This window comes from Homo sapiens, chromosome 3 (assembly GCF_000001405.40).
Source record: "Homo sapiens chromosome 3, GRCh38.p14 Primary Assembly".
In the NCBI taxonomy this organism is placed as follows: domain Eukaryota; kingdom Metazoa; phylum Chordata; class Mammalia; order Primates; family Hominidae; genus Homo; species Homo sapiens.
The window spans coordinates 140,380,724-140,403,276 of NC_000003.12; the positions used below are offsets into that span (position 1 = coordinate 140,380,724).

The 22,553-nt window shown below is 40.3% G+C and overlaps 1 protein-coding gene across 2 annotated transcripts in view, besides 1 other annotated feature; it reads left to right on the forward strand.

The window, feature by feature from the left end:
- CLSTN2 (calsyntenin 2) overlaps window positions 1-22,553 on the forward strand; it is a 642,213-nt gene that overhangs the window by 445,539 nt on the left and 174,121 nt on the right. The window lies entirely within an intron of this gene.
- Window positions 5,517-6,716: an enhancer, noted in NCBI's record as "BRD4-independent group 4 enhancer chr3:140105082-140106281 (GRCh37/hg19 assembly coordinates)". NCBI's record gives its function as "activates an origin of replication core promoter dependent on BRD2, P300/CBP, MED14 and CDK7 cofactors, and independent of BRD4, by STARR-seq in HCT116 cells {active_cell/tissue: HCT116}" and the evidence as "EXISTENCE:reporter gene assay evidence [ECO:0000049][PMID:35650434]".

Below are 22,553 nucleotides of genomic sequence, written 5' to 3' on the forward strand. Positions count from 1 at the left end.
CCACCATCTGCTGGAACCAATCTTTTCTCACAGAGACCGTGATACAGGGGGATTACAGACAGGCAACCCATGGCTGAACTGTGCATTCCTTCTGGGGTCCTGTCTTCTTCTTCCCCTCTGGCTTATGCGCAGGACCAAGGTGGATCTTGAAGGGCAATTGAAGAAGTGTAGTTGTGGGCCTGGTAGCTCAGAAAGCAGAGCATGTTTACCCTGGGTTTGGAGTCTGTGTTCGTTTTCTATGCTGCCATAACAAAGTACCAAACACTGGGTGGCTTAACCCAACAGAAATGTTTTGTGCCACAGCCCTGAAGGCTAGAAGTCTGAAATCAAGCTATTGGCAGGGTCATGCTGCCTCTGATGGCTAAAGGGGAGGATCTTTCCTCGTCTGTTCTAACTTCTGGTGATTGGAAGCAGTCTTTGGCTTTCCTTGGCTTGCAGATGTATCACTCCAGCCACATGGCCATTATCTCCCTGTGTGTTTTCACATCATCTTCCTAATGGTCATGTCTGTCTCTGTGTCCAAATTTCCCCTTTTGATAAGTACATAGTCATATTGGATTAGAGCCCACCCTAGTGACTTCATTTTAACCTGATTACCCCCTATACCAGATAAGGTCACATTCTGAAGTTAGGACTTCAACACATCTTTTTTGGGGGGACACATAATACACCCATAACAGTTCCTAAGGCAGACTCCACCAACTCTGTAGCATTGGAAACCATACAGTGTCTTTGAACCTCAGCCACCTCCTACTCTGTAAACTGGGAGTAAAAAGAATACCTAAGTCCTTTGTTGTCATTGTGAGGTCTAAATTGTGTAAAGCTCATAGCATGATACTTGACTTATCATAAATGTGAGTTCTCATTGTTCCACTTACTGGCCATACTGTTACCCCATTCAGGTGAGATTGTCTGGCTTTAACCAACTAGGGCTGACATCATGGCCTTGACTCCATAGGGCAGAGGATCTGAGTGTACCACACCAGCAGGGACCTCCCAGGTGGATCAGCCAGATGTTTCCAGCAAAAGCATAGTGCCAGAAACAGGCTGGTGATAAATCAGTTTGCTGAACTGAACAATTGGAGCTTTCCATTATTACACAAAGTCACAGAGGTCATCTTTGCCATGAAGTCTGCCAAATATTGGAAAACAAGGGTTCTTCAAAGAATAAATCTGGGGTCAGACCAGCAAGCATTGAATTGAATAACATGATGTGTCCATGCCTACTCTTTTATGCTACCAACTTCTCCTTCTCTATGTCCAGATTCCCTTTCTGTTCCATAAGAGGAGGTTTGTACTCCTGCCTCAAGGCCTTTGCGCTTGCTGTTTTTCTACCCAAAATGCAGTGTGTAGGTACCCTCCACCCTCCCATCTCTCTAATTTGTCTGCCTAATTTCTTATTATTTTTTGCTTACCCATTATATCTTCCCAGTTATTTTCCTGTTTATTTCCATCCTAACATTTAACACAGTTTGCAATCACATCTTTAATCTTGTGGTTCTTCATTTGATACTTGCCTTTTCTATTAGGCCTGGTCCCAGACTACATGGATCATGTTAGCTTGAGTCTCCATGGGCCACCCACCCTTAGCTCAGATCCTTCACAGAGTGGGTGCTGGACTGTTATGTGAATATCCTGTGAAGGGAAACAGTCACTATTCCCCAACAATGTGAGGGCCATTATGCTGAAGAAGGCTGATCATCCAGGGAAAATGAAAGGTTTATAGTCTGTACTTTCAGTTAATTTATATTTAAGCAAATCTGTCAGGGAAGTCAGTTCAATTTCATGGAAGTTGATAATCACTCCTACAGCCAGTGCCATCTTTGTTTGGGTCTGTGGGCTGTGCTCTACCTCATTCCTTTTGGGGCCCAGGTTAACAGGATAATTGTCTTAGTTCATTGGAGCTGCTATAATAAAACACCACACACTGGGTAGCTTATAGAAAACAGAAAATCTTTTCCCACAGCTCTGGAGGCTGAGAAACCAGCAGGTTGCCAGCCTGGCATGGTCAGGCTCTGCTGAGGGCCCTCTCCTGGCTTACGGACTGCTGGCTTCTTACTGTGTCCTCACATGGCAGAAGTGGCAAGCAATCTCCCTTAGACCTCATTTATAAGGGCACTGATCCCATTCTTCAGAACTCTGCCCTTATGTCCCAGTCACCTTCCAAAGGCCTCACCTCTTAATACCATCACACTGCGGATTAGGTTTAAACATATGAATTGGGTGGGGGTGGGGGTGGTCACAAACATTCAGACCACAGCAATAACCCTGCTCAAAAACCTCCTTCCCACAAAGAAGTAAAGTCAAACAAAGAGGAAACACCAGAAGATGATATTTTTTGCATAAACTCTAAGCATTCAAGCATATTTCACATACACTCTGTGAGGATAGTAAAATGACTTTATTACCTAAGGAGGAGAAATGAAGAAAATCTAACTAAAAGGTTTGGATATTTTCTACTGTATGACACTCAGTTGACCAGGAAATAGATTGTTCAGCTCAGGGGGACTATGTGAACCCAGCTTCTCTTCATAAGGGGATGTCACCTTAAAGCACAGAGATGTGGTCATATTTCTTTACCTTCTTTGAACTGCCTGGTATATAATGGGTGCCCATTAATTATTTCTAATATTCTGTGCTTGAGTTTGATTGGCTGAGAGAAGGGCAAGTGAGGAAAGATTTAAGTGATTGAATTCTAAGCTTATCGTGGAAGTTCTGGACCAAATACTATTTGCCAAACAGCTGATAAATTTGTGCAAAAACATACCATGCAGACTCCCCAATCAATAAAAACATAGGTAATTCTGAGCAGCTACAAAATGACTTCTGTCAATTTTATTTTTCTGAGGTATACAGAATTTCAGATCTTACTGGGGATAGTATAAACATGTGACCTTTGCTGCTGGGGGCAGGGAATTAAATTATCCTGGGCCTTCTACAAATATCCACTATATAGAGAGAGGAGGGAATTCCATCTCTCTTCCCACTTCTAGGCAGCTTGAAAAGTGAAATGCATCCAAATATATTTTGCATGAAAAGTAAGAGGTAGCATAAGGGTATTTACCATACAGTGAGATGGACCGTGTGGCTATAATTTATCTCACATTGGCCCAGTGGGGAAATGAAGCATCCTATTAGCATTGCTGGTCTGTGGAAATCACAATAGGCAAATTAGGGATAGAGCAAAGCACCTGTAATACCAATATCCACGTACTGTGAAGGAAAATGTCAAAGCAGGGTTTGGCTCTGCTGGAAACGGGTTACATTTAGAATGCATTAGCTCCTGACACCCAGGGCCTAGGTAATCTACAGCTCTTTCAAGTTATTTACTGTAAACTTGGAAGCAGCCAACCTTTCACGTTTACATTGGCTTTTTGTTGCCAACAGAAAAAAATAAAAGGTACATGAAAAGAAAATGAAAGTTGTTGTGAGGCAGTTGGCTGATAGGCTGTCTCACTGGAGTGCATGTCCCCGAACTGGGAATGCCTTGGCCATCATGGCTCACAGCCCAGGGAGCACGTTCCACTCCACCATTTCATTCCTGCTCCAGCTGATTTCCTAGCAAATAATCGTTTTATTTTGCTCCAGAATTAGAAAATGAAAATGAAGCTGGGAGTTATGAGTCTTAATTATCCTCCCTGGTCTTTTCTGCAGGAACCTAAAATTGATTTTCAAACTTCCCCTCCGAGTTTGATTTAACATTTCAGTCAGCATGCCTTCTGTGGGGGTTGTCAGCAGTATTGATGACAATGCAATGAAGAATTAGCCAGTCATATCGAAGGTGCTTGTTATCAGCTGACCAGTCCTAGCCTTGATGAGAGGTGCCCAGGGGTCGCCTGGTGCATGTTTAAGAAAGTCCCTTCATTTTCCACTCACTCGGATGAGAATGAATGCTGGAGTCACACCTGACAGGAAGCAGGCCTCTGAACTTTTGTTTTAAAGTATGAAACTGTGCCCTGAGATGCTGACTTATTAGCTCCAAGAATTGACAGAACAGTAAAAGAGTCCATATACTCCTGTAGTATTGATTGGGCTGTCATTTGTCTTTCTTCTTCAGCTCAAAATATGGATTTTCCTGACACTTTCTTTAACTTGAATTAAACATTTAAAATATTCCTGTTCCCCTTTGGGGTTCCCCACATGAACATTTGGGAACTTGCAATTTTGGGGTTATGGGTGAGACTTGTCAAGGAGTGGAAATATGGGATCTTTTGCACCTGCCATTGTTCATCAATTTCACGGGCAGCTTGGTTTAGTGTGTGGGCACCAGAGCCAGAAAAGAAGTGGGCAAATCCTAGTGTGACCTTGAACAACTCATCCAGTTGCTCTGTGCCTCTTTTGACTCATCTGTCAAATTGTTTGAAAACCCTGAGCAGCAGGGTTGGTGGTAGGGTGAGAGATCATGTAGTCAGTGTGCTCAGTGACTGGCAGTGAATTTGGGAAGACTAAGCAGTGTATCCAGCTGTGTTACTAAGGCAGAAGTAAGCCAGGGGAAACCCCTTAGCTTACATAAGGTCTCACACCTAAGAAGCATCTTGGTTCATAGTATGGGATCCATGAGACGGCTCACTCTCATGATGGCTCAAAAGATTAGAAATTTGGCTCATTCATTGCCAGTTGGGTCCCTGATGTTCTTTTTTTTTTTTTTTTTTTTTTTTTTTATCTGAGATGGCGTCTCGCTGTCGCCCAGGCTGGAGTGCAGTGGTGCGATCTCGACTCGCTGTAAACTCCTCCTCCCGGGTTCACGCCATTCTCCTGCCTCAGCTTCCCAAGTAGCTGGGACTACAGGTGCCCACCACCACGCCTGGCTAATTTTTTGTTGTTGTTGTATTTTTAGTAGAGACGGGGTTTCACCGTGTTATCCAGGATGGTCTTGATCTCCTGACTTCATGATCTGCCTGCCTCAGCCTCCCAAAGTACTGGGATTACAGCCGTGAGCCACCGCGCCCGGCCCCTGATGTTCTAACCTTAAACCAGCAATTTCAGAGCGGGGCTTCTCTCTGCCTGAAGAGGCCCTTGTCAAGCAGGTATGGGGTTACAGATAAACATCACACGTTTTCTTAGAATTCTAATTACTCACTGCACAAGGCCTGAGAAGCAAGCTGGGGTCTAGGGCAGGGGTCTGGGGCAGGGGCCAGACAGACCTTGAAATGAGGCTGGCTAAAGGAGCTGAAACTTGACAGCTGGCAAAGAGAAGCACGGAGGCAGGAGTCCAGAAATGGCCCTATTTGGATCTGACACTGGACAGTGATCTGCTCTGAGGGTCATTCCCTCCTATGAAGTCAAAACCATAAGAACATGAGTTTCACCTTCAGCATGAAGGTGCCACCATTCATGTTATCAATCACCAACCTTTACTATGTACTTTCTTCATGCCAGCATTATGCAAAGTGCTTTAGGCATTTTGCCTTCTTGACTTTAAACTTCACAATAGCCCAATACAGTATAATCTGTTATTACTCCCATCCTGTGCCTGAGAAGATTGAGACAGGAGAAGTTAACGTACTTTGGCCAAGGTCACAAAGATAGAAATGCTGCCGCTGGTACTTGAAACCAAGTCATTCCAATTACAATTCCAAAGACTCTGGTCTTAGCCAGTATAACTTTGTTAAACCCAAATGCCAGGGTCCAGTGTTAGGGTCCGGTTCATGCTGAGGTCCAATGGGAGTGGATGGATAGGCAATGGCTGAAATAACACTTGAGGGGCTGTAAGCAGATGAAATGTAGTTGTATTCAGCAGCTCTCTGATTAACAGCTCTCTCACACTATCTCATCAGCAGCTTTCTCACACTGTCCGCCCTGTCTCAGCTGCTTGAGCTGGTCGCTCCCACACACAGCTGTGCAGCCAGCTCTCCCCTGCCTTCAGGGTCAGCAGCTTAACTCTTTCTCTCTCTGGGTGTGAGAACAAGCTGTGCCATGCTGTGCTGTGCTGTGCTGAGCCATGCTCTGTCTCCCCTCTGTCCATCTGCAAGATGGACAGCTCTGGTTCTCAATCTCTCTCTCCCTTTCTCTGGGCACCAGCACCTGCACAAGAGCCATGTTGAGCCATACCCAAGAGCCAAGGCCTGTGCACAGTGTCAGCAGGGCAGCTATAATTTTTACAGACAATAGTAGCTCCAAGCCAAGTATGAACTTACACAAGCAGGTTATATAACATTTGGAGTATGCGCCTGTGCCCTAAACTTGCTGAGTCATGCAGACCTGGATGTCTGCCTTGGCCTAACCTTGACCAAAGCACATCCGAGTACCTTACAACAGTGCTTCTCCTAAACTTACTAAAATTTAGTCTTTTCTACACCCAACCAACTTTACGGCCTAGCTTAAGGCATAACTTAACATAGGTGTGGGCTGTGAAGTCAGGGAGATGAGATGAGGAAGTACAGATTCTTGCCTCATGGAGCTCTGAGGAGAAAAAAGATGGGTGAACACAATTGAAAATGCAGGAAGAAAAGCATGGGTAGGAGGAGAGCAGGGGGCACAGTGGAGCATCAAGGAGATCTCCACTGAGACCTTGGCTTGAGAAGCCAGAGCAGGCTTCTTAGAAGAGATTGTGTTTATGCTGGATTTTGAAGCTTGTGTAGGAGTTCTTCTGGTAGCTATAAGAGAGAATTCTCTGTTAGTTGATGAAGAGCATGTAGGATGGCTTATTTTCTTGGCAACAAAGGCTACTGGTGGCTATAACAGCAGTTTACTAACCTCTCCATTGGGCAGCCTGTGAGCCTTTCTGCTTCCACAGGTTCCTATTTGCGATAAATTGCAAAAGCCTGCTTGTTAATAGTGTTTGTTGTTCCTCCTTAATTTCCAGATAAAAAATTTGGCTCATTCTTTGCCAACTGGGTCCCTGATGTTCTAACCTTAAACCAGCAATTTCAGAGCAGGACTTCTCTCTGCCCGAAGTGGCCCTTGTCAAGCAGGTATGGGGTTACAGAAAAACATCACACATTTTCTTAGAATTCTAATTATACTCAAAGATACAAGGGTAAAATAGAATTAACTTCAAATTAAAAGATATTTAGCACTTTATGGAGTGAATTTCAAAATTTACATGATTTAATAATAAAAGCTTTGCTTTTTTAGAAATGTCATAGTAGACGTGGGCTACATTTTGGTATAGCAATTCCTTCTCCATAATTGGGAGATAATGGAATGGTTGAATGATTCAGATTTTTTGTTTCTGGCCAGTATAACACTTGCGATCATTCATTCACCAGTCCAAGAGCCAACCACTCATTCTCCCTATTGAAGGGACTGGGTTCTATTCCTTGCTGTATAATTTGGTGGTGTCTACTCTTTCATATCGACAAGCACCACGATTGCTTCTCACGCTTCACCAGCAGTAGCTGAAATCTTGCCGTGGTTTAACGTCTTGCCTGAAATTAAAGTAATGGAGATACAACCATAAGAAACCCACTACAGGCTGTGTTGAGTCATAAAACTGTAATGCTGTGAAAGTGCGGCAGCAAGAAATCACTGGTGATGTGAAAGGAGCAAAATAAATATCTGCTGGGTTTTTAATTAACTGACTGTAAATAATGAAAATGAGCAAGTTAGACTCACTTTTAGGAGGAAAATACCATTGTAATTTGAATATGGCTATTGATGGAGAGCATGGCACCTTTGATGGAGATACATAAATCACACAGCAACTCTCTAGCATCTCCTATAAACTGTGTGTTATTTAGCCTGTCTGCTTTGTCCCCAGTGGACAAACATCAGCAGTTATTTTTGCATCTGAGCCTGTAGAGGGTAACGTGTAAAGAAAAAGCCAGGCACAGAAGCTTCTACTCTCCCTTTAGATTCCTATAATGGTAATTATTATTATACTACTGAGAAGACAGTTGTGGTTAAGAGGTGGACTCTAAAGGCAGGGAGACCTGAATTCAAATTTTGGCTTATGATTATTTCATGACATTGGGCAAGTTTCTTCGCCTCTCTGTGCTTCAGTCTCCTTCTCTGTATAATGGAAGAGAACTTGGCACTTGCACAAAGGTTGCTGTAAAGCCATTGACATAGTACTTGGCACATATTAAGTATTCAAGGGCTATTAAGTGGTGAGAGCTGGCATCCTGACTTGTTCCTGATCTTAGGAAGGAAGTATCTAATATTTCACCATTAATGTTAGCTGTAGGTTTCTCATATATACCCTTTATTAGGTTGAACAAGTTACCAATTTACTGAGAGATGTTATTATATATGAATGTTAACTTTTGGCAAACTGTTTTTTGCATCTGTTGAAATGACCATATAGTTTTTCTCTTTTATCCTGTTAATGTGATTAATTAGATGGAATCTTGTGTTTCTGTGGTAAATCCTACTTACTCATAATCCCTTTTATAGAGTTGAATTAAATTTGCTAACATGTATTATTAAGGATTTTTATATCTATGTTCATGACAAATAGAGCTCTTTAATTTTCTTTCTACTTTAAGTTCTGGGATACATGTGCAGGAAGTGCAAGTTTGTTACATAGGTAAACATGTGCCATGGTGGTTTGCTGTATCTATCAACCTATCACCCAGGTATTAAGCCCCACATGCATTAGATATTTATTCTGACGTGCTCCCTCCTCCCACACCCCTGACAGGCCCCAGTGTGTGTTGTTCCCCTCCCCATGTCCATGTGTTCTCATTGTTCAGCTCCCACTTATAAGTGAGAACATATGGTGTTTGGTTTTGTGTTCCTGTGTTAGTTTGCTGAAGATAATAGCTTCCAGCTCCATCCATGTCCCTGCAAAGGACATGATCTTTTCCCTCTTTTTGGCTGCATAGTATTCCATGGTGTATATGTATTTTCTTTATCCAGTCTATCATTGATGGGGATTTGAGTTGATTCCGTGTCTTTGTTATTGTGAATAGTGCTGCAGTGAACATACACATGCCTGTGTCTTTATAATAGAATGATTTATATTCCTTTGGGTATATACCCAGTAATGGGATTGCTGGGTCAAATGGTGTTTCTGGTTCTAGGTCTTTGAGGAATCACCACACTGTCTTCCACAGTGGTTGGACTGATTTATATTCCACCAACAGATTAAAGCATTCCTATTTCTTCACAACCTCATCAGCATCTGTTGTTTCTTGACCTTTTAATATCTATTTTGACTTGCATGAGATGGTATCACATTGTGGTTTTGATTTGCATTTCTCTAATGATCGATGATGTTGTAGCTAATTTTCTTTACTTTGATATCTGTGACAGATTTTGGTATTAGGGTAATGCTAGCCTCTTAAAAAGAGTTAAAAACCATTCTTTCCTCTATTTTCTAAAAACAAATTATGTATGATTAATGTTATTTTGTTTTTGAATGTGATAGAATTCACCAATGAAGCCATCTGGGCCTGGACTTTTCTTTAAGGAAAGGTTTCTTAAAAAAAAAAAATACATAACATATTCAAATTCCTTAGCATATTACTTAAATATGATAATAAGTTTTGTGTTTACTTACTTTAGGTTTACTTTGCTTTTCTCTTTCTAGCTTCTTGATTTTATATTCTCTTTCTTTTATAATACATGCTTTTAAAGCTATGAATTTCTCTCTAAGCACAGAATTGACTGCATCCCACAAATTTTGAGATGTAGTGTTTGTATTATCTTCAGTTCTAATTATTTTTTCATTTTTCTTTTAATTTTTCCTCTGATCCATGATTCTTTTAAACGTGTACTGTTTAATTTACAAATATCTAAAGTTTTTCTAGATCTCTTTATTGATTTCTGATTTATTTCCATTGTGGTCAGAGAATATATTCTGCATATTTTAAGCCTTTTAAATTGATTGAGACTTGTTTTATGTCCCAGCATATGGTCTTTATGAACATAACATGTGAGATAGAAATAAATGTGAATTCTGCAGTTGGATGTAGTATTCTATACATATCAGTTGGGACAAAATGGTGATAGTGTTATTTATATTATCCATTACTTTCTTGATCACTTCATGCCTTATTCTTTATGATTGTGGAGTGTCTATTTCTCCCTTTAACTCTATCCATTTCTCCTTCAAGTGTTTTGAACATACCAATGAGAACTTATTTAATGTACTCATTTGAGAATCCAAACATCTGAGTTATCTCAGGGGTGACCTCTGTTGTCTTTTTCCCTTAGGAAAAGGTCCTATTTCTTGGCTCTTCACATGTCAAGTAAGTTTGAACTGTATCCTGGATATTTTGAATTGTTATAATGAAAACACTCTGAATTGTCATAGTCCTTCAAAAATTAGTAATGTTTTGTTTTAACAGACCATTAACTTGGTTAAACTCAAACTGCAAATTGTCTTTTTGCCTGCCATGGGCAGCAGTTCTGGTCTCGGTTCAAAAGGCTGGCAGTCTGTCCCCACATGCAGGGGACTGGGGGCAGCCAGAGACTTGGAAACGGTTTAAACACAGAGTTTGGGCCTCCCCTTCCCTGGCTATCTTCTCTCCAGGATTCTACTCTCACACTCAGGCAATCCTGTTTACCTGCTAGAAAGACAACAGGCTTTCTATCAAAGTTTTAGCCTCCACGCTGTACCACGGGGTTGCAGCTGCCCTCAGGGCAAAGGATCAAAACAAAAAACTCATCCATCCCTAGTAGCTTCCTCCAGGTTTCAGCTCCCCCACCAACATCTGCCTATTTTTAATCACTGTCTAGAGCCCTTCACTATTTGCGTGGGGGGGTGGGCGGGAGGGGCGGGTATTTTTCCAGGTTTGTGATGTTATTGTGAGAAGGTCAGTGTGCTTACTCATCCACAGCAGAGGCTGAACTCCCCAGGTCACTTTGCTTGCTCTCTATCCCCAGATTTCATTTAAACATGTGCAGTACATGACATTTTATATGAATTTGAATTATTCTAGTTAGAACTAGTGCAATAAGAATATTAACATGATATGATTTGATATGCGATATATAATTTATAGTGATTTTATTAAACTAATACTAATATAATATTAAATTTATTTTACAATATTAAGTTTTTTTAAGAATTATAATGTAATGACTAAGCAAATTATGAACTAGAACCCTATTGCCAAAAGACTTCCACCTTAGCTGATAGTCAGTCAGTGAAAGCCATTTCTCAGTACATACATCTGGATTTCTGAAAGTGACCAAGATGCTATTATTTTAAAATGTAATGTTTTTAAATTTTTAAAATATTTTTATATACCATAACAATACCATCTAAGCAATTATTAAGAGGCGATGATCATTTAAGACCTGATAACCAGCAGTTTGGGAACTGAAGCTAAATGTGAATTAACCATCTAAAGAAGGTCAAATCCACTGTTGTTTTAAGAGGGAACATTATCCTAAATATTAGAAACAATGCCAAGAAAACAAAAGTGAGCATAAAAGAGAATAATTTTATAGTTATTGTAGAGTGTATCCTCTTTGCTTTACATTTATTTCTATGAGCTTTTAATGATATGTGCTGTTGATTAGGTAGAGCAGCAGTATCCAACAGAAACATTACTCAAATTATACAAATAATTGTGTAATATATTATCTAGTAGCCACATTTAAAAAAAAGAAATAGGTAAAATTGATTTCAGTAATATATGTTGTTTAACCCCAAAATATCCAATATTATTATTTCAACATGTTATCAAATAAAAAATTGTTAATGAGAAATTTTCTATTCTAATTTTAGTTTAAAAAGTCTTTCAAATCCTGTGTATATTTTACAGTCTAAGACATCTCAAATAGGACTCTAGGTTTTTATCAGAAATATTTGATCTATATTTAGAGTTTATGTAATTTATAGTTGAAAAATTGATTCACATAACCAAACATACTTCAAAGTTTTCCAGTAACTAAATTGAGTGTGTTATTAAATTTAAATTTTTTAAAAATAAAGTTTAAACTCTAGTTTCTTGGTCATATTAGCCACATTTCAAGCATTCCAACACCACATTCTGGCTAGTGGCTTCTGCACTAAAGAGTGCAGACATAGAATATTAAAAAAGTCATTTTTCGAGGAGGAGTTTTCAATTTGTGCCTAAGTTCCTAAAGACACTAGTGATGAGAAATACTCAGAAGGAAGCAGAGGAAAAAAATAAATTTAAAAAGTAGATGGTGTCTTAGTCTGATTTCCTGGTGTTTATAATATAATAGTTGAAACTGGGTAATTTTTTTTAAAAAAAAAGAACTTATTTTTTTTTTACAGTTATGGAGGGTGAGAAGTCCATGGTCGAGGGGCCACAACTGGTGAGGCCCTTCTTGCCGGTGGGGACTCTGCAGAGTCCTGAGACAGCATAAGCATAAATATGACAAGAAGGCTGAGTGTTGTCATTCAAGTCTCTTTTCTTCTTTTTATAAATCCCCCAGTCCCACGCCCATGATAACCTGCTAACTCATTAATCCATGAATTAGCAGAGCCCTCCCGACCCAATCACCTCTTAAAGGCCTCACCTCTCAACACTGCCACATTGGGGATTAAATTTCAACATGAATTTTGGAGGGGACAAACATTCAAACCATAGCAGATGAGGACAAACAGACTTTGGGTAAACTTCTGACTGGTTCAACTTTGGGGCCCCATCTCAGCCCCATGTTTGGACACTGAAAAAATGGGGAGAGAGAGATTCCAAAGATTTTACCTGTCAGCATGATTTGCACCAATTCTATGTGAATATTAAGTCTTCCTCTGGTTAATTGAGGAGGCTGCAATATTCAGCCCCTATATCTTGAGTGCTCATTGACACTCAAAAACCTCAAATACGTTTAATTGTTTGGGCCTATGTGTAGCTTCTGTTTCTGAAACTTAACTTTAACCCGCTGAATGGAGTCTTGGGCTTCTGGGAAACTCCATGCCTGCTAGATTCCTCCTTACAGGAGGTGGCTGCTTACAGAGATGTTGTTGACAGAGGTAATCGGACATGGTAAACGGCCATTATATTTGTATGGGACTTCTTTAACTCTCCAAGGTGTTTCAATGTCTATTATTTTCCTAAAGGACAAGTAAGAGTTAACCAAGGTAGGATCTAGGTAATGATCATGGAGGGGTCTGACTAATGTATCACCTGAGAGCTGTGGGCAAATGAGATCCCTTCCTTGTTTAATAAGATTCTCTACTCCTGCTTGACAGTGGGAAAACAATTTATCCAGATCTTGTAACTGGGTCCAGGGCAGTATTTCTTGAGACATAGGGTTTAAAATGCTCTCTTGGCAAATATTAAAAATTTAGATATTACAAAGTCAGTCATCATCCTTTTCCAAGTGTTTTCATTGCTCTCTTCCTCCTCTTTGCAATCTTCCAACACCTGACTAGAATGGTGGGCACCTCAGAATCAACCAGTGCATCAGCAGGAGGGCTGGGAGTCTGTAAAAAGGGAAAGGGCACAACAGCAGAACCCGGGAAGTGCCTGTCTGGGCTGGTCTGCCATCCCTTTGTGCTGGCTTGCTCATAAAACTGTCTGACAGTTAAACTAGCTTTTTATAAGTCATTCAACCCACTCCCTGACTTACTACATTCTCAGTTTTTTCAAAAAAGAAAGTTCTATTCTGATTGTCGTATGATGACCATAGGACAATGGTTTTATTCCCATTTTACAGATGAGAAGATGGAGGTATGGTTCATTTTCAAATTTATCAAGATGATAAATGAAGAGTTGGGATTTGAATCCAGGTTTACCCTTCTTTTAGGCACTGACCTGTACTACCTGCAATATCTTAAAATAGAAGCACTGAAATGCCATTGTAAAGAAAGGGACATGACAGTGTCCAGAGGACAAGGCCTTGTCTCAGCAGAATCAGTTTCAGGAGCTGAAACTCCTTCCTTCTTACAGCTACAGCACTTCTCTGGTGGTTACATGACAGCAAGCAATTGATTCTGGAAGTATTTAGGAGGCAAGATTAAGCCATCATTGTCTGTGTTCTCACAATACCCAGAAACAACACCTATTGCAGCCTTTGCAGTACTTCATTGCACTTAACTTTTTGTCCATCTGCCTCCTTCTCCTGTCTGTAAACACGGAGGTGGTTTCTGATTCATCCAAATCTCCAGCCCCAGGCAGGTCAGGGCACAGAACGATGTAGGCTGTTTTCACTGTTCCCCTAAATAAGTGCCTGACCCATAGTAAACACTGAATAAGTATGAACTACAGTGATTTTTGTAAATTGTTATTATTATTCATTTTGTTCTTACTATATTATTTATGTCCAGGGATGGTTTGCTGAGTGAATGAGTACAGTAGGTTTTTGTACTTGGACTCCTTTAATTCCAGAACCACTGGGCACCAGGCAGACCATTATTTCAAGTTCCACTTGACCAAATTATGACTAGCTGAGTCAGAGGGACCTCTCCAAGTCTCTCAGCATATAAATAAGTTTTTACGTCATGTATTCACCCAACAAATATTGCCAAAGAATAAAAAAAGAATCACCTTTATTTGCTTTTCAGAAACATAATAACTGCTTTGTTAATCTTCCAAAAGAGGGAGATTTTGATCTTGGCACAAAGCTTTAGAAAAATGACTTTTAAAATAAAATAATATGTTTTATTTTGCTCAATTCTAAGTAGAAAGAAAGGTATAAATGGTGAAAACTGCCCCCTCCCCCTGCTTTGGTTGAATGGGAACCAAGGTTAAGTTATCACTATGCACCTAGCTGCTTGCAGGCCAGAAGGCAGGATTTATTATAATTGTAATAATAAAAAGTAGATAGACCTTTATACTTCCCACATCTCTTCCACGTTTAGTGTGTCATTGTAGCCTCATGGAACTTTCAGGATTAGGCATGGTAGTATCTTCAGCTGTAATAAAGAGAAACTTGAGAACCACCCAAGGTCACACAGCTGAGAAGGGCAGAGATGGAACTCAGCAGGGCCTGTCCGAGTATCCCCAACCCAGATGTGTGAAGAAACACCCTACGTAACATCCTGCAAATGTTTCCCTTTAGCTTTCTACTTTTGAAGATTTTAAGTGTTTCATCTGAAGTGGGAGGGTTTAAACTCAATGTTCTGTTACAATATGGATTTATTTCTACATTCAGCCCTAAAGTGATATTCTGGACATGATTACCTCTTGATGTGATTGGCACTTTTCCTTTCCTGTCTTATTATACTTAAAGTGACTAGAGATGATCCCATGTAGAGAGGGACTTTAAAAACTTCATCCACTCAGCCCTCTGGCAGTGTGGTCAGTGTTGACTGTCTGCCAACTGTGTACTAGAGAGGACAGTGTGCAGCTGAGAGCAGATGATACCATAATCTGTCTGGAGGGACCTCACCAATCTGAAGGAGAGGCTTTATAAGAGCCAGCTATTTCCTCAAACCTGGAGGCAGAGACTTGGCCAGGTGTTCGCTCCAGGAAGACCGCCTTCATGTTTTGAGTTCAGTGTTTCTCAAAAGAACCCTATAATCATCTGCAGTGAGATGATTCTTGGTAGTATACGACTGATCTGCTTAGGGCAAGATATTTAGCACCTTGACTCTTGCCCAGTGAATGCCATTAGCAATTCCCCATCACTGCGATGAGCAAAAACAGTCAAACAAAACATCCCCCTCACTAAACTCTCCCCGTGGGAGCAGTGCTGGCCCTCGATGAGATTATGAAAATGTAGAGGATGTTGTCATTCAGAGAAAAAAATGTGTGTAATAAACTGTGGCTGATAGGTGCAAGGTGCTTCAAGGAGTCAGATTGTTTGAATGTCACACATGTGACATTCAAAATATTTCTGATGTTGAAATGATCTCTACCTTCAGCCTTTTCAGTTCTTAAACAGGAACAGGGAGTTTGCCTGAGGTGTGTGACTTTTCTTCAATATAATAACAGGGAAGAGAGCTAACAATTACACAGTGCTTAGCATATGTTAACTCATTTAATCCTCCCAATAACCAATAACCCTATGAGTTAACTACTATTAATACCATCCCACTTACAGATGAGGAAACAGGCACAGAGAGGTAAGTGACTTCCCTACAGTCCCATGGTAGTTAACTGCATAACTATTTCATTCCAGCCCATCTGGGCCAGATTTGGATAGAGATGTGGAAATAATTTCCCCAGCCCCCCAACAATTTATTATGTGGACATGCAATTCTTCTTACTCTTACTACAAAGGCCTAGCTGTGGAATACAAAGCAAACTGAGCCGCTCTGAGGCTGGGAGCACTCTGCAAGGTGATGGGTCATGTTTTTAGCATCAGGAGCAGGGTATGGAATTATGAGCTGGGGGGACACTATTATTGGTAAATTGTAAAAACAGCAGTTCTCATGTTTTTTGGTCTTATGACCCCTTTACACTCTTAAATATTATTAAAGATTCTCAAGAGTTTTTCTTTATGTGGGCTACATCTGCATGTCCAATATTTACTATATCAAAAATTAAAACTGAGAAACTTTCAAATGTTCATTCACTTAAAAAATAACAATAAACTCAATACATATTAACACAAGTAACATAATTTGACAAAAAAAGATATATTTTTGGAAAAAAAAACAAATTAGTGAGAAGAGTGCCATTGTTTACATTTTTGCAGTCCCTAATATTGAGCTTAATAGAAAACAGCTAAGTCCTCATATCTTTTATTGCCTTCAACCTGTTGTGATATGTTATTTAGGTAGAAGTATATGAAGAAAATATGACCTCACCCAGGTAGGTAGTTGGAAAGGAAGTGGTATTTTAATAATATTATTGTAGATAATATTAAGTTATAGATATTCTTCTCTGATAGTACACCAGAGCTCCACAAATAATAATTTCTTAAAGATTAGGTAAAAACGAATCTGAAATTGCATTAAATTTATGCACTGTCTCCAACCATTAAAGCTGCTGTAACGAAATACCTTAGAGTGGTGTCTTATAAAGAACAACAATTTATTTCTCACAGTTCTGGAGGCTGAGAAGTCCAAGATCAAGGCACTGACACCTTCAGTGTCTTTTGAGGGCCCATTTTCTCATAGATAGCACCTTCTCACTGTAACCTCACATGGCTGAAGAGGACAGGGATCTCTCTGGAGGCTTTTATAAGAGCACAAATCATGACCTAATTAACTCCCAAAGGCTCCATCTCCTAATACCTTCACTTTGGTGATTTGGTTTCAATGTATGAACTTGGGAGAACATAAACATTCAGTCCATTGCACGTTGTTACATTAAAATCCATAAAAGTTTCTTGTGCTTTGAATCTTTTACTTGTACATGACTGTGTGACATTATGCATTGGTTGTTTGAGAGATACTGGTTCATTGTTAAGTGGTTCCTTCAAAAGTTGGTATATTTCATTATACAATATCAAAAGTCTCATGCATTAATATCACTACCCATCTTATCAGACAAGTATCAGACACAGGCTTCCCCAAACTGAAAGCTTCAGTTTTATCATTGACAGCAAATACTCTCAGTTCTTTTTCTTGGTGGGACAGGCTTACTTCCAAAAACATCTGCCACACATTCAAGTTTGAATAAACATAGTTCATCTGTCAATCATTCTTTCAAGTAAAAAATGTCATTTTATGAAAAAAGGTCCTAGTTCAGTTCACAATTTAGATCACACAAGTGCTTTTCCTAGACACAAACCAGCATACTTTGCCATGCCAAGGTGTTTAAAGTGCACTTTCCATTTCATCCCACAGAATATTAAAAAGACATGAACTCATTGTGATTTAATAAAAATTGATAATATTTACTGTATCATTAAAGTCATTCTTAAGTGAAATTGGCTTTTTTCCCCTACATGTATGCTTTGATGAAGAATGCAGTTAGCCACTCACTAAGCCACCAGCACTTTTACTCCCCATTGCTTTTATGTCATCAGTGCAAATGTCAACACAGACAAAAAGTCAAATAACATCTTAGTATTAATATGATGATCACTTTGACTTTTTGAACCCTTACAAAGTGTCTTGGGGATGCCAGACTGACAGAGCACACTCAGAACCACTGTCCTAGAACATCACACTCACCCAGTAAGTGATAAGCTGCATGAAAGAACAAAAAGGGTGCTGACCGTAGATGCCAAGATTTTAGTCCTTAGTTGGCTTTATGCTGTCAAAGTGACCTTGGATGAACACGTAATCTCTCTGAGGCTCAGTTTCCTCATCTAAAAAATTGAATTAGCTTACTTTGTTGTTCAAAAGTATTCAAAGGAAGGAGCAAAATGTGCTCTAAAAATCAAGTTAAAGACCTTTCCCCCAGAATCCTATGTGAGGTATTAGGAGACAACTACACCAACTTCTGCTGGTGTCTTTCTGCTGAGAAGCAGGTAACTGTGAGATACCTGCTCACAGGACTGAGGGTCCGGAGTGGTCATGTCTCACTCAGGCACAGCAGGGGCTCATCTTCTGGTCTGGCCCTGAAGGGGGCTCTTGGTGAAGCCCCAGTTCAGCCACCTTGGCCCACAGCCCATGTGAGCCTGGTGGCCTGGTGCTGCTGGCCTCCTTTTCCACGCAGCCCATGGCTAGCCTCACACCCATGCTCATCTGTGTGTTGTCCACACACAATTCCTGGCACAGTAGCAGTTCTCTCACCCAAAAGCATATTGGAGGGCAAGATTTTGAAAATGATATCTTTATATGAAAACCATTAGGTCTGATCTTTTACTTTTAAATGTATCATCCTCCCACTGCAGTGCTCTGTTAGTATAATAACAAATGCTAGTGACAAGCCTCACAAAAAAAGTTCTTGTATAAGACATAAGACAGCCTAATGTGTCTTACACTGACACTGAGAACTGCTGTTTTAAATATCTTTCTATCTAGAATTTTGTCCTGGGACCTTTCTTCCAGAAGTCTCTGTTTCAACTTGTCATGACGTTTTAAATATTCTATTTGGTATAGTTCTAAGTAAAGATATATTTAAAACTTTAAATTATTAGCTTGAATTTTACCTTTTCTATTATGCAATGTCCATTTTTAAATACAAATATAAGAGCATTTAGCTAGCATACAGAATACCAAAATTACAGAATTTGTATTTTACAGTTCATATATACATATGTATTTAATTCTTACCACAACAGTATAAATACTACACAAAACAAACTCAACTGTTTTAATTTGACTTCCATTTTTTTCTTTTTCAACTTTTATCTTAGATTCCGTGGGTGCATATTCAGGTTTGTTACAAAGGTATATTGCTTGGTGCTAGAGTTTGGAGTATGATTGATCACGTCACCAAGAAAGTGAGCATAGTACCCAATAGGTAGTTTTCCTGACCTTGCCTCCCTGCCTCCCTCCCCCTGTTTGTATTCCCCAGTGTCTATTCCCCATCTTTATGTTCATGTGAATATTACTCTTTACCTTTGGGTTACTGATAGCAAGGGCAGCCTGAAAAAAAAAAAAGCAATGAGTCGTCTGATCTTCCCTTTTCCCCTCCACCATCGTTTTCAGTGTAAGTGATTGGCTAATACAGGATGTAATGTGAATAAGACAGGCTACAACAGGGTTCCTTGGTTGTTCACATTTCTCAGTTTTCTACTCCCTCTTTTTGCATTTGAAACAAGTTCTAGTTCAAAGGGGAAGTGTGGCCTCTTGGGGAGGTCAGCTTCCTACTTAGTCAGTTGAAGACATAACATGATTACCTTGTTCTCACTCTGAGTCCCACTGAAATCCCACATGTTGTTGGGTCCATGGGAATTCTGAAAGCTATATGCAAATGGGGCAGCAAGACGTGGTGGACATGCGTATTGCAGCCTTCTCCTCTGCTCATAACATGCTCCATTGTCCCATCAGACTTTATTCACAAAACAGAGGTTCAAAGATAAAATTATTAAGAACTTCAAGGCTGAGCACAGTGGCTCACACCTGTAATCCCAGCACTTTGGGAGGCCGACAGGAGAATGGCTTGAGGTCAGGAGTTCGAGACCAGCTTGGACAACATAATGAGACCTCCATCTTTGCAAAATAAAAAACTTAGCTGGTTGTTGGTGGCACACACCTGTAGCCCCAGCCACTCAGGAGGCTAAAATGGAAGGATTGCTTGAGCTCCGGAGTTTGAGGCTGCAGTGAGCTATGATCACACTACCGCATTCCAGCCTGGGTGACAAACCAAGACCTCATCTTAAAAAAAAAAACTCAGGACAGAGACAGAAGAGATTAAAACCAAGCTCAGGATGCTTCTGAGCACAGGACCCTGGGTGGCTCTTAGGTCCCAAGCCTGTGAAGCTAGCTCTGCCCCACGGCCTCCACTCCTGCCACACTGGGCCTGCGGTCCCTTGGACTCACCATGTTCCTTTCTTCTGAAGGGTCCTAAGCCACCACATTCTTAGGGAGGCCCTCCCTGCCTTGCCTGACCAGGCCAGAATACTTTTAGCACACATAGCTCTCCTTCAGTGTACTCATCACCATCACCATCCTTCTTTCAGGTACTGATTATTTGACTGCTTATTTCCCTTTCTACCAGACTGCAAGCGGCTTACAGGCCAGCGCTGGGTCTATTTTTGTTTATTATTGGTTTACCAGTGCTTGGCACATAGTGCCTAAAAAATATTTGTGAGAAGAATGAATATTTATGAGGTGGATGAATAAATGAATGAATGTTTTTGCAACCAGAACCCAAGTGTCAGGTGAAGAGGTGGGATAAATGAGGGTGACATGAATGTTAGGTTCTGTTCTAGGTTTTGATGAAAACAAAGTGGGTCTTGATTGTCCTTTTTACTTGTCTGTCTTTTCTATCAGGTAAGAAGTACTTTAGGATAAAGCATCCTTATATTTTAAGGTACCCAAGTTGTTAGTCTTTGTGTCCTCAGACCTAGCACAGTGCCTGAGACTTAGCCCTCGGAAAAATTAGTTCTATTGAATTGAATTGTTCCGTAGATGGAAATATGTCACCTAAACTTTATCTTGTCTTCCCTTTGTATCTCCTCTTTCCTCTCCTCTGTCTTCTTTCCCTCTCTACTCTCCTTTTCTGTTGTTAAGGATTTCTGCATCTTGAAAACTACTTAGTTGTGATCAGATCTTTCCAAGAGAAGATTACACTCATCTATTCTAGGTTTGACTTGAGTCTTCAAAGAGAAATGGTCTGATTAGCCTTATAACCATGGCAGTGGTTGGGCACTCCAGAGAATGCCCCAGAAACAGTCTAGACACATTTGTTGATAATATTGTCATATTGGCATTGATCTTGGGAGAGAATCAAAAAGCAGCTACTTTAGAGGTTCATCTATTCAACGCTTCTAATTTAGAGAAGAAATTAAACTTGAGAATTTGAGAAACCCTATTCTCCTGCCCTGGAGGCTGCAGAACTTGTCAGAATGCACAGTACTGAAATGCCTAGTGATCCCAAAAAACGGAAGTGAATGGGAACTAGCCTTCTTACTGGAACTGGGTCCATAACCTGTCTTGTCCATTTATTCCACAAGTACATTGAGAAATGGCTAGGAGGGGTGGCGGCGGGGGAGTGGGAGATGGGGGTGGTAGTGAAAAGGAAATGTTAATAATGAAATTGAGGATCAATGAAATTCTTTTTGAAAAGCATAAAGGTAAGATTGGTATTGATTGAACATCTTGGAAAACATTGTTAGTAAGAGATCATGGCATGATTCCTATATGTAAATCAGAGGATTTCTTTCCTGAATGAGACTTGAATTGGAATGTAGAGAGTTTCTCCAGGCAATCCATGGAGTGGTTCCTTAGAAGTTATGGGGCTGTTTGGAGATGGTGTGGTGGGATAGAAAGTACATGGACTTAGGAATCAGCCATACCTGGGTTTAATACTTAGCTTTAGCTCTGTGACATTGAGCAAATATTTAACCTTTCTGATTTTATTTTTTAAAAATTGGAATAAATTGATATAAAATACTTGCCTTGCAGGTTTTTTATGAAGTTCAAATGAAGTTCTCTGGGTATGGGTACAAAGCTTGGTGCCTGGTGCAGAGCAAGCATGCAATCATCTCATCCCTTCTCTTCACTGTGTCAGCTCTTACGAATAGTTGGGCAGGACCTGGACTAGGGTGAGGCAAGAAGGTGCCTGGGTTAACCTGAGAGCAAGGCCCCATTAAATGATGCACCGTAGGTACCTTGCTTGCCCCTCCTTGGCCTCAGCAGTGCAGCTGAAGCATTGTCAGACCAGGGCTGGAGCATCTTAGGGTAGATGCCTCCCACCCCACCACCATCTCTGGGACCATCTTACGGATGACACAGTAGAGGCCCAGACAGTCAATATCATTTGATTTAAGCCAATCAGTTAGTAAGTGGCAAGCCTGGAATGTGAATCTAGGCCTCTGGGCTCTTGGCCTCTGTTTTGCTCCCTCAAAGCCTATAGCTAAACTCTTTTCTCTAATAAGTCTGTAAATTTTCTCAATAGGGAAAGAGGACATGTCTCAAATTTTCAGCACTTCCCAAGACATTTACTACAGGTCTTGCATGCAGTTGGGGTTCAATAAATAAACATGCACTGATTGAGAAAAAAGGAGATATTATCATGGCATTATAATTTTAATGCATAGAAATAGTTATAATAAACATTAACGCAGCTGAAGGAGAGAAATGCATTAATTTCACAACATGTTCAGCTCTTTAAGATGTTAGCTTTTCAGGCTCCACAGGGGCTCTGGAACTCTGGAACTCACATAGACTCACGCCCACTGTTTCAAAAGAGAAAACTGCAACTTGGAAGGGGAAATGGTAGCTGGAGACAGAA